This window comes from Homo sapiens, chromosome 17 (genome assembly GCF_000001405.40).
Source record: "Homo sapiens chromosome 17, GRCh38.p14 Primary Assembly".
NCBI lineage: Eukaryota > Metazoa > Chordata > Mammalia > Primates > Hominidae > Homo > Homo sapiens.
The window spans coordinates 34285742-34298534 of NC_000017.11; the positions used below are offsets into that span (position 1 = coordinate 34285742).

At 43.8% G+C, this 12793-nt stretch overlaps 1 protein-coding gene across 1 annotated transcript, besides 1 other annotated feature; it reads left to right on the forward strand.

Moving 5' to 3' along the window:
• Positions 1-2593, forward strand: CCL11 (C-C motif chemokine ligand 11). The gene is made up of 3 exons (NM_002986.3): positions 1-143; positions 1355-1466; positions 1844-2593. The coding sequence occupies exons 1-3, from the start codon at positions 68-70 to the stop codon at positions 1947-1949; spliced, it is 294 nt and encodes a 97-aa protein (NP_002977.1). The 5' UTR covers positions 1-67; the 3' UTR covers positions 1950-2593.
• Positions 11891-12480: an enhancer, noted in NCBI's record as "NANOG-H3K27ac-H3K4me1 hESC enhancer chr17:32624651-32625240 (GRCh37/hg19 assembly coordinates)". NCBI's record gives its function as "activates a minimal SCP1, AML or CMV promoter by ChIP-STARR-seq in primed H9 embryonic stem cells {active_cell/tissue: H9 hESC(primed)}" and the evidence as "EXISTENCE:reporter gene assay evidence [ECO:0000049][PMID:30033119]".

Genomic DNA, 12793 nt, shown 5'->3' on the forward strand with positions numbered 1-12793 from the left:
AGAGAGGCTGAGACCAACCCAGAAACCACCACCTCTCACGCCAAAGCTCACACCTTCAGCCTCCAACATGAAGGTCTCCGCAGCACTTCTGTGGCTGCTGCTCATAGCAGCTGCCTTCAGCCCCCAGGGGCTCGCTGGGCCAGGTAAGCCCCCCAACTCCTTACAGGAAAGGTAAGGTAACCACCTCCAGAGCTACTAGGTCAGCAAGAATCTTTACAGACTCACTGCAAATTCTCCATTTGAAAAATAGGGAAACAGGTTTTGTGGGTGGACAAGAAATGCCTCAACCTCACATCCAGTCACTGGAAGAGCCAGAACTAGAAAGCTCCCGAGTCTTTTCCCCACATTCAAGAGGGTTGCTGGGTGCATCCATACCCAGCTATCCTTACAGTGTTTGGGAATGGGGAATGGCTCTGTCTTACTGTGGGCATGGTGGGCATTTTTGGCAGTGGGAGAGAAGGAAAATCTGTTGATTAGAAGCTCAGTATGTTAATTCGACTCCAGGACAGCTTTCAGAGACAGTGGCTAAGAGAAGAACGAGGTCCCAGGGGGATCTCTTGAGGTGACTTATTTTGACACTCTTTGGGAAAGTTATCTAGGAGATTTGTTCCATAACTCATTTTCCCATACTCTGGTGACAAATTTACTGAGTGTATCGGTCCCACTGAGCCAGTGCATAGCATGGTAACAAACAGTTCTAAATTATCAATGACTTAACAGAATTAACTAAATTAACAAAAGTTACTTTCTCACTTGTACTAAATATCTATAATGTATGGGCTCAGGCTTCTGCATTTTATACTCAGGATTCTAGACTGATGGAGAAGTTGCCCATGTGGGGGAACATTGATGGATACTGTGATAAAGCAGAAGAAAGCTCTCAGGAGTCTTGCATAGGCAATGCACTGTGGCTCAAAAATGACACCCATCACTTTGTCTCCTTCTTTATTGATCAAAACTAATTAATGCCTCCAACCAAACAAAAGTGGCCAAGAAATGCAAGTCTACCTTGTGTCTCAAAACAGAGGATGGAGAATATTTGGTGAAAATTACCATGACCATCACATGGCCACGTAGGTCTTTATAATGACAGAGCTAGCATTTGTCACATTGACCAAGCTTTGTCCATACACTCTACAGTAATGATGAGTCCTCAGTGCACAGGGGAGGATGCTGAAGACACAGGACAGCATCCTCCAGACACATAAGACTTCAGAGCAGAGGGATTCTCCCTCCACCTCTCGCAATTCCTTGCTTTCTCCTAACTTCCTTTACAAAGTCATGCTTGGAAATGTCTATGTATCATCATGTGGCTCATTTTTTTCTCTGTTCATTTTTTTTCCCCAAAATTCAGCTTCTGTCCCAACCACCTGCTGCTTTAACCTGGCCAATAGGAAGATACCCCTTCAGCGACTAGAGAGCTACAGGAGAATCACCAGTGGCAAATGTCCCCAGAAAGCTGTGATGTAAGTAAATAAAGTTCACCCTCCCCTAGACAAAAAAATAATGTCTAGGGCACAGAGTCAAGAACTGTGTCACAGTTGCTGGGAGTCATAGACTCTGATAGTTTGACCTCTATGGTCCAATTCATTAATTTTCACAAGTGAGTGTTCACTCCCAGCTCCCTGCCTGGGAGATTGCTGTAGTCATATCAATTTCTTCAAGTCAAGAGCAAAGATGGTTTTACTGGGCCTTTAAGAGCAGCAACTAACCCAAGAGTCTCATCCTTCCTCCTCTCCGTAGCAACCCTTTGTCCAGGGGCAGATGGTCCTTAAATATTTAGGGTCAAATGGGCAGAATTTTCAAAAACAATCCTTCCAATTGCATCCTGTATCTCCCACAGCTTCAAGACCAAACTGGCCAAGGATATCTGTGCCGACCCCAAGAAGAAGTGGGTGCAGGATTCCATGAAGTATCTGGACCAAAAATCTCCAACTCCAAAGCCATAAATAATCACCATTTTTGAAACCAAACCAGAGCCTGAGTGTTGCCTAATTTGTTTTCCCTTCTTACAATGCATTCTGAGGTAACCTCATTATCAGTCCAAAGGGCATGGGTTTTATTATATATATATATTTTTTTTTTTAAAAAAAAAACGTATTGCATTTAATTTATTGAGGCTTTAAAACTTATCCTCCATGAATATCAGTTATTTTTAAACTGTAAAGCTTTGTGCAGATTCTTTACCCCCTGGGAGCCCCAATTCGATCCCCTGTCACGTGTGGGCAATGTTCCCCCTCTCCTCTCTTCCTCCCTGGAATCTTGTAAAGGTCCTGGCAAAGATGATCAGTATGAAAATGTCATTGTTCTTGTGAACCCAAAGTGTGACTCATTAAATGGAAGTAAATGTTGTTTTAGGAATACATAAAGTATGTGCATATTTTATTATAGTCACTAGTTGTAATTTTTTTGTGGGAAATCCACACTGAGCTGAGGGGGACAAAGATGGCTGTGGCCAAGAGGGGCTTGGTTAAGGGGGTGGGAACTATGTCCCTGGGAAATGAGTTTTTGGCTTAGCTGGTCTTCATTGAAATGCAGGGTGAAACTGACAAACCCATTCCAGCCCTCTATTCCCATTTTCAACAGTATTTCCCAGACCCCAAACTTCAGCCACGAAAATATCTGGAGCTTTGCCACCATTCCTTTCCTCCCCACCTCATACTTGCCTCTCCTGGGACCTATTTTAACAGCCCTGTGGTATCTCCCTCTACCCGACCCTGCTCCTCGGTCTTCCAACCCAGACTAGGCAGACATGACAGACACTGGAAATCAGAGGAAGGCTAGGTGACCTTTGACCAGAGGTTTAGGTGCAGGTTTTACAGGTGTGGTGGAGCTTAAAGTGGGTCTTGTGCATGCACAAAGTGGAGAGGCTCTGCTGGAGGTATTTCAGTCTAGGTAGAGGAGAAGGGGTGTTGCTTGGGCAAAATCCAAGAAGTAGGAATGATCATGCTGCATTTACCCAGTTGGGTGGGAGCCCATCAAAAGATGTCAGTGTTGGAGTATGTGTGAAATGGTGGGGAAATTTGGAAAGAAGTTTGAGACCAGGCTGTCTAGGTGGGGAGTTTGTGCTCCATGTAAGGTGAACATATGGTTCTTCCCAGCCCAGTTAGGATGCTTTTGAGAGCAGAAAAGTGGTATTATTCATAATTATTCTGGAACAACGGATATAAATTAACACTGTCCTAAGCAAACTGGAGCATGTGGTCACTCTAGGAATAGAATGCATTGCAAGTTTTGATTCAGTGGAGAGAAGTGCCATGACCACACTATGAGGGGCTTCAGGAAGGGCAGCCAGGTGGCCATGGGCTGAATTGGGAGGAGAAGGGAGAAGCACTTAGCTCACTATTGCAGTGTATGGAAGATATGGAACTGGGGCATTGGTAGTTGGGAGGGGAGAAGATAATTGGAAGAATGGCTGAGGCAGGGTGGAATGCCAAATGTTGTGGTTGAAGAAGTAGAACCAATGACATGGAAACTTTCTAAATGCCAAAGCTGCAATTAAAGGTTAGCTTCTTAGACCCAGAAAATTAATTTCTCTCTGTCACTGTTTACTCACACCTTAACTTTACTAGCTTGAGAGCTTTCAATCAAATGGACAGGACCTCATCTTCCTGTATAAGCAACTTAAATCAGGATTCCCTTTCAGCATACAAAATCAGCTTGCGTTTCCATTGGTCACATTACCTATGTACCTGAACGCAGAGACCAACTATGTCCCCAAGGGTAGAAAAGGGTCACAGGTGCCCTGCTGGTATAACTCTGCATGGTCTAAGGCCATTGATCTGGAGGGCCAATGGCCTACTGTGTCATGCATGCCCAGCAGGGTCGCTGCATGCAAAGCTCCCAGAGGCACCATTCATAAGGCTGTCCCCCTTGGACTGTGTGGTGGCAATGGCACAAGGCAATATAAAGAACAGAATGAGACATTAGGAAGGGCACTGATCTAGGAGGCAGATGACCTCAGTTTCATCACAGACAGAGAACTGGTCTCTGTCACTGTGTTACTTTTGGCTTTAGTTACCCCATCCATAATAGGGGTATATTAATATCTTTTAAGGGATCTGACCAATGACCCACCAAGATCTCCTGTTCTGAGAGCACTACCTCTTGGAAAGCATCACTACCTCCACCCATTGAGGGAGGGAATGTTGTCAGAGGGTTCCACACTCACAAGCCCAAGTCGGACAGGGGCCAGGATAACTGGCACACTTACTCTATTTCTAGAAGATTTCTCTGTGAGAGCCGCAAGTAGAAGCATGGATCCCTAGAACCATCAGAGAGCTTTTTGTATCTACTACAGAAGGGCTCCCACTCAGAGCAATCACTGGCCCTCACTCTGAGTACAAAAAACCTCTCTGCCTCTCCTATAGCCTAGCAGACTTTAGCCCTAAACATCAATCAGGATGTACCTCCAGAGGTCAGCATGTCCAGGAGGCATGGGATGGCCACAGAATAGCTCACTGGGATCAGTAGACCCTCAGGTTTCAGGTCAGTCTTCACGAGGAGATCAAGAAGGGGAGTAGAGGGAAGAGGTGCCCTCTGTTTGTGAAGGACTGAACAGAATTTGCTCATATCCCCTATTCCTCTCTCAAGGAATCCTGAACCTAATTACCCTACAATTGGGAATAGCATCACCAGGGCCTTGAGTATAAAACTGTGGGCACAAAGCATTGGAGGTGTTTAAGTTTTCTGATGGCACACAGATCTCAACCAGGAATCAGGGATGTCACCAACTCATTTCTCTGGAAAGCATACTATTAGATGAAGATGTTCATGCAGGGTTCACTGAGAGTATGGGGAAGCTGAACTAAGGAGAGGGAGAATTGATATTGTGGTGCAATTGCAGCCCAGGTCTCAGCAATCCCATAGGGAGCTTTAGAACTGGGATAGCACAAATGAGGTCGAGGGGCCAGGCTTTTATACCCCCATCTGAACCAGCCCTGGCTGCAGGATGCTCCTGGAAGAGGACACAACTCTGGGCAAGGCAGCTGTTTTTAGCTGACGGCGGGCCTCATAGAGGAAATTCCGCTGAGAAGCATTGGCTGCCAACACTTCTAGCAGCTGGGGAAGAAGCACTTTAGACCTGGGAGGGAAAAACTTGGGCAGCACACTATGAACTCCACCATGACCCACCCCTTGTGCCATTCAAATCCACTTGCTTATATACAAAGTTCTGGAAAACTCATCCAGAAATCTGTTGAGCCTCATTTTTTAAGGAAACTTGCAAGAGGAAGGTTGGTGGAGTGAACAGTAGCCACCTACAACAGCTGCAACTGGTCTTGAGGTTATAAATGATGCTTATCACCCCACTCCTAGAACACTCATTCTAGATTTTCCTCAACCTCAGCCCATGCCTCTGCTGGCCTAAGTGGCTTGCCTTCAGGATTCACCCAGACCCTCATCCCTGAGGGGTTCAGCCCCTGGTCTTCACACTCCTCTCAGGACAAGGATATGGCTGCTACTGTTGTCCATTTGCCATTAAAATTGGGTCAAGAGACATCCAAATGGGTCACCCAGATGCCAAACATATTCTTATCTAACCCCATTGAGTAAAAGCAGCTCCACTCACTTCTGATGACCAGGGCCCATTACCCTGGCCCGGATAGTGACCTCTTCCTCTCCTTGCCTGTTAGTTTCTTGGCCTGCAAGTCTAAAGAGATAGAGTGCAGCCACAGCTGAGGATTAATGAGACTCCCTCTAGGAACCAAGGGGTAAGCATTCTTCCTCTGGGAAACAGGATTTCTAAATCCGTACAGCCCTGATGTGCACAAATCCCCCAAAGTGGATCACTAGGAGTAATGGTAAGTAGGGCAATTTTACTTCCACCTTTGACATGAATCTATGAATTTTACCTATTGGGAATACAGCTTCACTTATTATTTGATTTAAGGTCTATATTGAATCCTAGAGGATAGTATTTCTTCCTTGTAGGATACTCTTTCCAAGCTGGTGCCTTAACTGTGCCTTCAGCAGGCCATTCCATTACTGTATCAGCCTGGAAACCTGTGGATAACACAGGTATATAGTGGGATCAGTGGATCCGATGACCATACACCCAGTGCTGCACCTCATTTGCTGTAGTGTGTCTTCCAGTCTATAGTGATGTTATGTGGCATGTTGCGCCAGTGAACAAACACTTGTAAGCTCTCAGATAATGGTGCTGTCTAAGGTACTGGAGACAGAAATGGCAAACTCATACCTGGAAAGTGTTTCTACTCCAGTTAAGATGAGTCATTGCTCTTTTCAGAGTAGAATAGGTGCAATGTAATCAAACATGTACTTTCCACCAAACGGCTGGTTAGTCTCCCTGATGGATGGATGATGCCATAGCCGGGGATCAACAATGGGCTATGTTACTGGCAGGTTGGACATTCAGCTACAGGGCCACGTGTCATCTGAACTCCTGCTACCATAATGACTTTGTTCATATTCTTACTGTCCCATTACTGTGGTGACAAATAACAGAAGCTGGCTGATGCCAACTGGCTGAGTCATCTTGTTACCTTAGTCATTCTGTATGTCCAAATTCCTGATGGGATTAGTACCACATCTTTACATACTGTGTCCTGTCTCATAGGTTCGTCCACTTGCCTCTCTGCCAGAACCCCTTTCCCCCAAAATTTTTACCTTTGTCTTTCCAGGCCCCTGCCCAATGATGCAGACCATTCAACACTATCTATCTACGAGTCCATATATATATATATATTTTTTTTTATTTTTTTATTATACTTTAAGTTTTAGCGTACATGTGCACATTGTGCAGGTTAGTTACATATGTATACATGTGCCGTGCTGGTGCGCTGCACCCACTAACTCGTCATCTAGCATTAGGTATATCTCCCAATGCTATCCCTCCCCCCTCCCCCAACCCCACCACAGTCCCCAGAGTGTGATATTCCCCTTCCTGTGTCCATGTGATCTCATTGTTCAATTCCCACCTATGAGTGAGAATATGTGGTGTTTGGTTTTTTGTTCTTGCGACAGTTTGCTGAGAATGATGATTTCCAATTTCATCCATGTCCCTACAAAGGACGTGAACTCATCATTTTTTATGGCTGCATAGTATTCCATGGTGTATATGTGCCACATTTTCTTAATCCAGTCTATCATTGTTGGACATTTGGGTTGGTTCCAAGTCTTTGCTATTGTGAATAATGCCGCAATAAACATACGTGTGCATGTGTCTTTATAGCAGCATGATTTATAGTCATTTGGGTATATACCCAGTAATGGGATGGCTGGGTCAAATGGTATTTCTAGTTCTAGATCCCTGAGGAATCACCACACTGACTTCCACGATGGTTGAACTAGTTTACAGTCCCATCAACAGTGTAAAAGTGTTCCTGTTTCTCCACATCCTCTCCAGCACCTGTTGTTTCCTGACTTTTTAATGATTGCCATTCTAACTGGTGTGAGATGGTATCTCATAGTGGTTTTGATTTGCATTTCTCTGATGGCCAGTGATGATGAGCATTTTTTCATGTGTTTTTTGGCTGCATAAATGTCTTCTTTTGAGAAGTGTCTGTTCATGTCCTTCACCCACTTTTTGATGGGGTTGTTTGTTTTTTTCTTGTAAATTTGTTGGAGTTCATTGTAGATTCTGGATATTAGCCCTTTGTCAGATGAGTAGGTTGCGAAAATTTTCTCCCATTTTGTAGGTTGCCTGTTCACTCTGACGGTAGTTTCTTTTGCTGTGCAGAAGCTCTTTATTTTAATTAGATCCCATTTGTCAATTTTGTCTTTTGTTGCCATTGCTTTTGGTGTTTTGGACATGAAGTCCTTGCCCATGCCTATGTCCTGAATGGTAATGCCTAGGTTTTCTTCTAGGGTTTTTATGGTTTTACGTCTAACGTTTAAATCTTTAATCCATCTTGAATTGATTTTTGTATAAGGTGTAAGGAAGGGATCCAGTTTCAGCTTTCTACATATGGCTAGCCAGTTTTCCCAGCACCATTTATTAAATAGGGAATCCTTTCCCCATTGCTTGTTTTTCTCAGGTTTGTCAAAGATCAGATAGTTGTAGGTATGCGGCGTTATTTCTGAGGGCTCTGTTCTGTTCCATTGATCTATATCTCTGTTTTGGTACCAGTACCATGCTGTTTTGGTTACTGTAGCCTTGTAGTATAGTTTGAAGTCAGGTAGTGTGATGCCTCCAGCTTTGTTCTTTTGGCTTAGGATTGACTTGGCGATGCGGGCTCTTTTTTGGTTCCATATGAACTTTAAAGTAGTTTTTTCCAATTCTGTGAAGAAAGTCATTGGTAGCTTGATGGGGATGGCATTGAATCTGTAAATTACCTTGGGCAGTATGGCCATTTTCACGATATTGATTCTTCCTACCCATGAGCATGGAATGTTCTTCCATTTGTTTGTATCCTCTTTTATTTCTTTGAGCAGTGGTTTGTAGTTCTCCTTGAAGAGGTCCTTCATGTCCCTTGTAAGTTGGATTCCTAGGTATTTTATTCTCTTTGAAGCAATTGTGAATGGGAGTTCACTCATGATTTGGCTCTCTGTTTGTCTGTTGTTGGTGTATAAGAATGCTTGTGATTTTTGCACATTGATTTTGTATTCTGAGACTTTGCTGAAGTTGCTTATCAGCTTAAGGAGATTTTGGGCAGAGACAATGGGGTTTTCTAGATATATAATCATGTCGTCTGCAAACAGGGACAATTTGACTTCCTCTTTTCCTAATTGAATACCCTTTATTTCCTTCTCCTGCCTGATTGCCCTGGCCAGAACTTCCAACACTATGTTGAATAGGAGTGGTGAGAGAGGGCATCCCTGTCTTGTGCCAGTTTTCAAAGGGAATGCTTCCAGTTTTTGCCCATTCAGTATGATATTGGCTATGGGTTTGTCATAGATAGCTCTTATTATTTTGAGATACGTCCCATCAATACCTAATTTATTGAGAGTTTTTAGCATGAAGGGTTGTTGAATTTTGTCAAAGGCTTTTTCTGCATCTATTGAGATAATCATGTGGTTTTTGTCTTTGGCTCTGTTTATATGCTGGATTACATTTATTGATTTGTGTATATTGAACCAGCCTTGCATCCCAGGGATGAAGCCCACTTGATCATGGTGGATAAGCTTTTTGATGTGCTGCTGGATTCGGTTTGCCAGTATTTTATTGAGGATTTTTGCATCAATGTTCATCAAGGATATTGGTCTAAAATTCTCTTTTTTGGTTGTGTCTCTGCCCGGCTTTGGTATCAGAATGATGCTGGCCTCATCAAATGAGTTAGGGAGGATTCCCTCTTTTTCTATTGATTGGAATAGTTTCAGAAGGAATGGTACCAGTTCCTCCTTGTACCTCTGGTAGAATTCGGCTGTGAATCCATCTGGTCCTGGACTCTTTTTGGTTGGTAAACTATTGATTATTGCCACAATTTCAGCTCCTGTTATTGGTCTATTCAGAGATTCAACTTCTTCCTGGTTTAGTCTTGGGAGAGTGTATGTGTCGAGGAATTTATCCATTTCTTCTAGATTTTCTAGTTTATTTGCGTAGAGGTGTTTGTAGTATTCTCCGATGGTAGTTTGTATTTCTGTGGGATTGGTGGTGATATCCCCTTTATCATTTTTTATTGCGTCTATTTGATTCTTCTCTCTTTTTTTCTTTATTAGTCTTGCTAGCGGTCTATCAATTTTGTTGATCCTTTCAAAAAACCAGCTCCTGGATTCATTGATTTTTTGAATGGTTTTTTGTGTCTCTATTTCCTTCAGTTCTGCTCTAATTTTAGTTATTTCTTGCCTTCTGCTAGCTTTTGACTGTGTTTGCTCTTGCTTTTCTAGTTCTTTTAATTGTGATGTTAGGGTGTCAATTTTGGATCTTTCCTGCTTTCTCTTGTGGGCATTTAGTGCTATAAATTTCCCTCTACACACTGCTTTGAATGCATCCCAGAGATTCTGGTATGTTTGTTCTCATTGGTTTCAAAGAACATCTTTATTTCTGCCTTCATTTCGTTATGTACCCAGTAGTCATTCAGGAGGAGGTTGTTCAGTTTCCATGTAGTTGAGCGGCTTTGAGTGAGATTCTTAATCCTGAGTTCTAGTTTGATTGCACTGTGGTCTGAGAGATAGTTTATTATAATTTCTGTTCTTTTACATTTGCTGAGGAGAGTTTTACTTCCAACTATGTGACCAATTTTGGAATAGGTGTGGTGTGGTGCTGAAAAAAATGTATATTCTGTTGATTTGGGGTGGAGAGTTCTGTAGATGTCTATTAGGTCCGCTTGGTGCAGAGCTGAGTTCAATTCCTGGGTATCCTTGTTGACTTTCTGTCTCGTTGATCTGTCTAATGTTGACAGTGGGGTGTTAAAGTCTCCCATTATTAATGTGTGGGAGTCTAAGTCTCTTTGTAGGTCACTCAGGACTTGCTTTATGAATCTGGGTGCTCCTGTATTGGGTGCATATATATTTAGGATAGTTAGCTCTTCTTGTTGAATTGATCCCTTTACCATTATGTAATGGCCTTCTTTGTCTCTTTTGATCTTTGTTGGTTTAAAGTCTGTTTTATCAGAGACTAGGATTGCAACCCCTGCCTTTTTTTGTTTTCCATTTGCTTGGTAGATCTTCCTCCATCCTTTTATTTTGAGCCTATGTGTGTCTCTGCACGTGAGATGGGTTTCCTGAATACAGCACACTGATGGGTCTTGACTCTTTATCCAATTTGCCAGTCTGTGTCTTTTAATTGGAGAATTTAGTCCATTTACATTTAAAGTTAATATTGTTATGTGTGCATTTGATCCTGTCATTATGATGTTAGCTGGTGATTTTGCTCGTTAGTTGATGCAGTTTCTTCCTAGTCTCGATGGTCTTTACATTTTGGCATGATTTTGCAGCAGCTGGTACCGGTTGTTCCTTTCCATGTTTAGCGCTTCCTTCAGGAGCTCTTTTAGGGCAGGCCTGGTGGTGACAAAATCTCTCAGCGTTTGCTTGTCTGTAAAGTATTTAATTTCTCCTTCACTTATGAAGCTTAGTTTGGCTGGATATGAAATTCTGGGTTGAAAATTCTTTTCTTTAAGAATGTTGAATATTGGCCCCCACTCTCTTCTGGCTTGTAGGGTTTCTGCCGAGAGATCTGCTGTTAGTCTGATGGGCTTCCCTTTGAGGGTAACCCAACCTTTCTCTCTGGCTGCCCTTAACATTTTTTCCTTCATTTCAACTTTGGTGAATCTGACAATTATGTGTCTTGGAGTTGCCCTGCTCGAGGAGTATCTTTGTGGCGTTCTCTGTATTTCCTGAATCTGAACTTTGGCCTGCCTTGCTAGATTGGGGAAGTTCTCCTGGATAATATACTGCAGAGTGTTTTCCAACTTGGTTCCATTCTCCCCATCACTTTCAGGTACACCAATCAGACGTAGATTTGGTCTTTTCACACAGTCCCATATTTCTTGGAGGCTTTGCTCATTTCTTTTTATTCTTTTTTTCTCTAAACTTCCCTTCTCGCTTCATTTCATTCATTTCATCTTCCATTGCTGATACCCTTTCTTCCAGTTGATCGCATCAGCTCCTGAGGCTTCTGCATTCTTCACGTAGTTCTCGAGCCTTGGTTTTCAGCTCCATCAGCTCCTTTAAGCACTTCTCTGTATTGGTTATTCTAGTTATACATTCTTCTAAATTTTTTTCAAAGTTTTCAACTTCTTTGCCTTTGGTTTGAATGTCCTCCCATAGCTCAGAGTAATTTGATCATCTGAAGCCTTCTTCTCTCAGCTCGTCAAAGTCATTCTCCATCCAGCTTTGTTCCGTTGCTGGTGAGGAACTGCGTTCCTTTGGAGGAGGAGAGGCGCTCTGCATTTTAGAGTTTCCAGTTTTTCTGTTCTGTTTTTTCCCCATCTTTGTGGTTTTATCTACTTTTGGTCTTTGATGATGATGATGTACAGATGGGTTTTCGGTGTGGTTGTCCTTTCTGTTTGTTAGTTTTCCTTCTAACAGGCAGGACCCTCAGCTGCAGGTCTGTTGGAATACCCTGCCTTGTGAGGTGTCAGTGTGCCCCTGCTGGGGGGTGCCTCCCAGTTAGGCTGCTTGGGGGTCAGGGGTCAGGGACCCACTTGAGGAGGCAGTCTGCCGGTTCTCAGATCTCCAGCTGCGTGCTGGGAGAACCACTGCTCTCTTCAAAGCTGTCAGACAGGGACATTTAAGTCTGCAGAGGTTACTGCTGTCTTTTTGTTTGTCTGTGCCCTGCCCCCAGAGGTGGAGCCTACAGTGGCAGGCAGGCCTCCTTGAACTGTGGTGGGCTCCACCCAGGAGCTTCCCGGCTGCTTTGTTTACCTAAGCAAGCCTGGGCAATGGCGGGTGCCCCTCCCCCAGCCTCGTTGCCGCCTTGCAGTTTGATCTCAGACTGCTGTGCTAGCAATCAGCGAGACTCCGTGGGCGTAGGACCCTCCGAGCCAGGTGTGGCATATAGTCTCGTGGTGCGCCGTTTTTTAAGCCGGCCTGAAAAGCGCAATATTCGGGTGGTAGTGACCCAATTTTCCAGGTGCGTCCGTCACCCCTTTCTTTGACTCGGAAAGGGAACTCCCTGACCCCTTGCGCTTCCCAGGTGAGGCAATGCCTCGCCCTGCTTTGGCTCGCGCACGGTGCGCGCACCCACTGGCCTGCGCCCACTGTCTGGCACTCCCTAGTGAGATGAACCCGGTACCTCAGATGGAAATGCAGAAATCACCCGTCTTCTGCGTCGCTCACACTGGGAGCTGTAGACCGGAGCTGTTCCTATTCCGAGTCCACATATATTTTAACCTCAGGCCACCTCTCTGTATATACAAGTCAATGACTAGTTTGAGAAAACTGCTCAAACTCT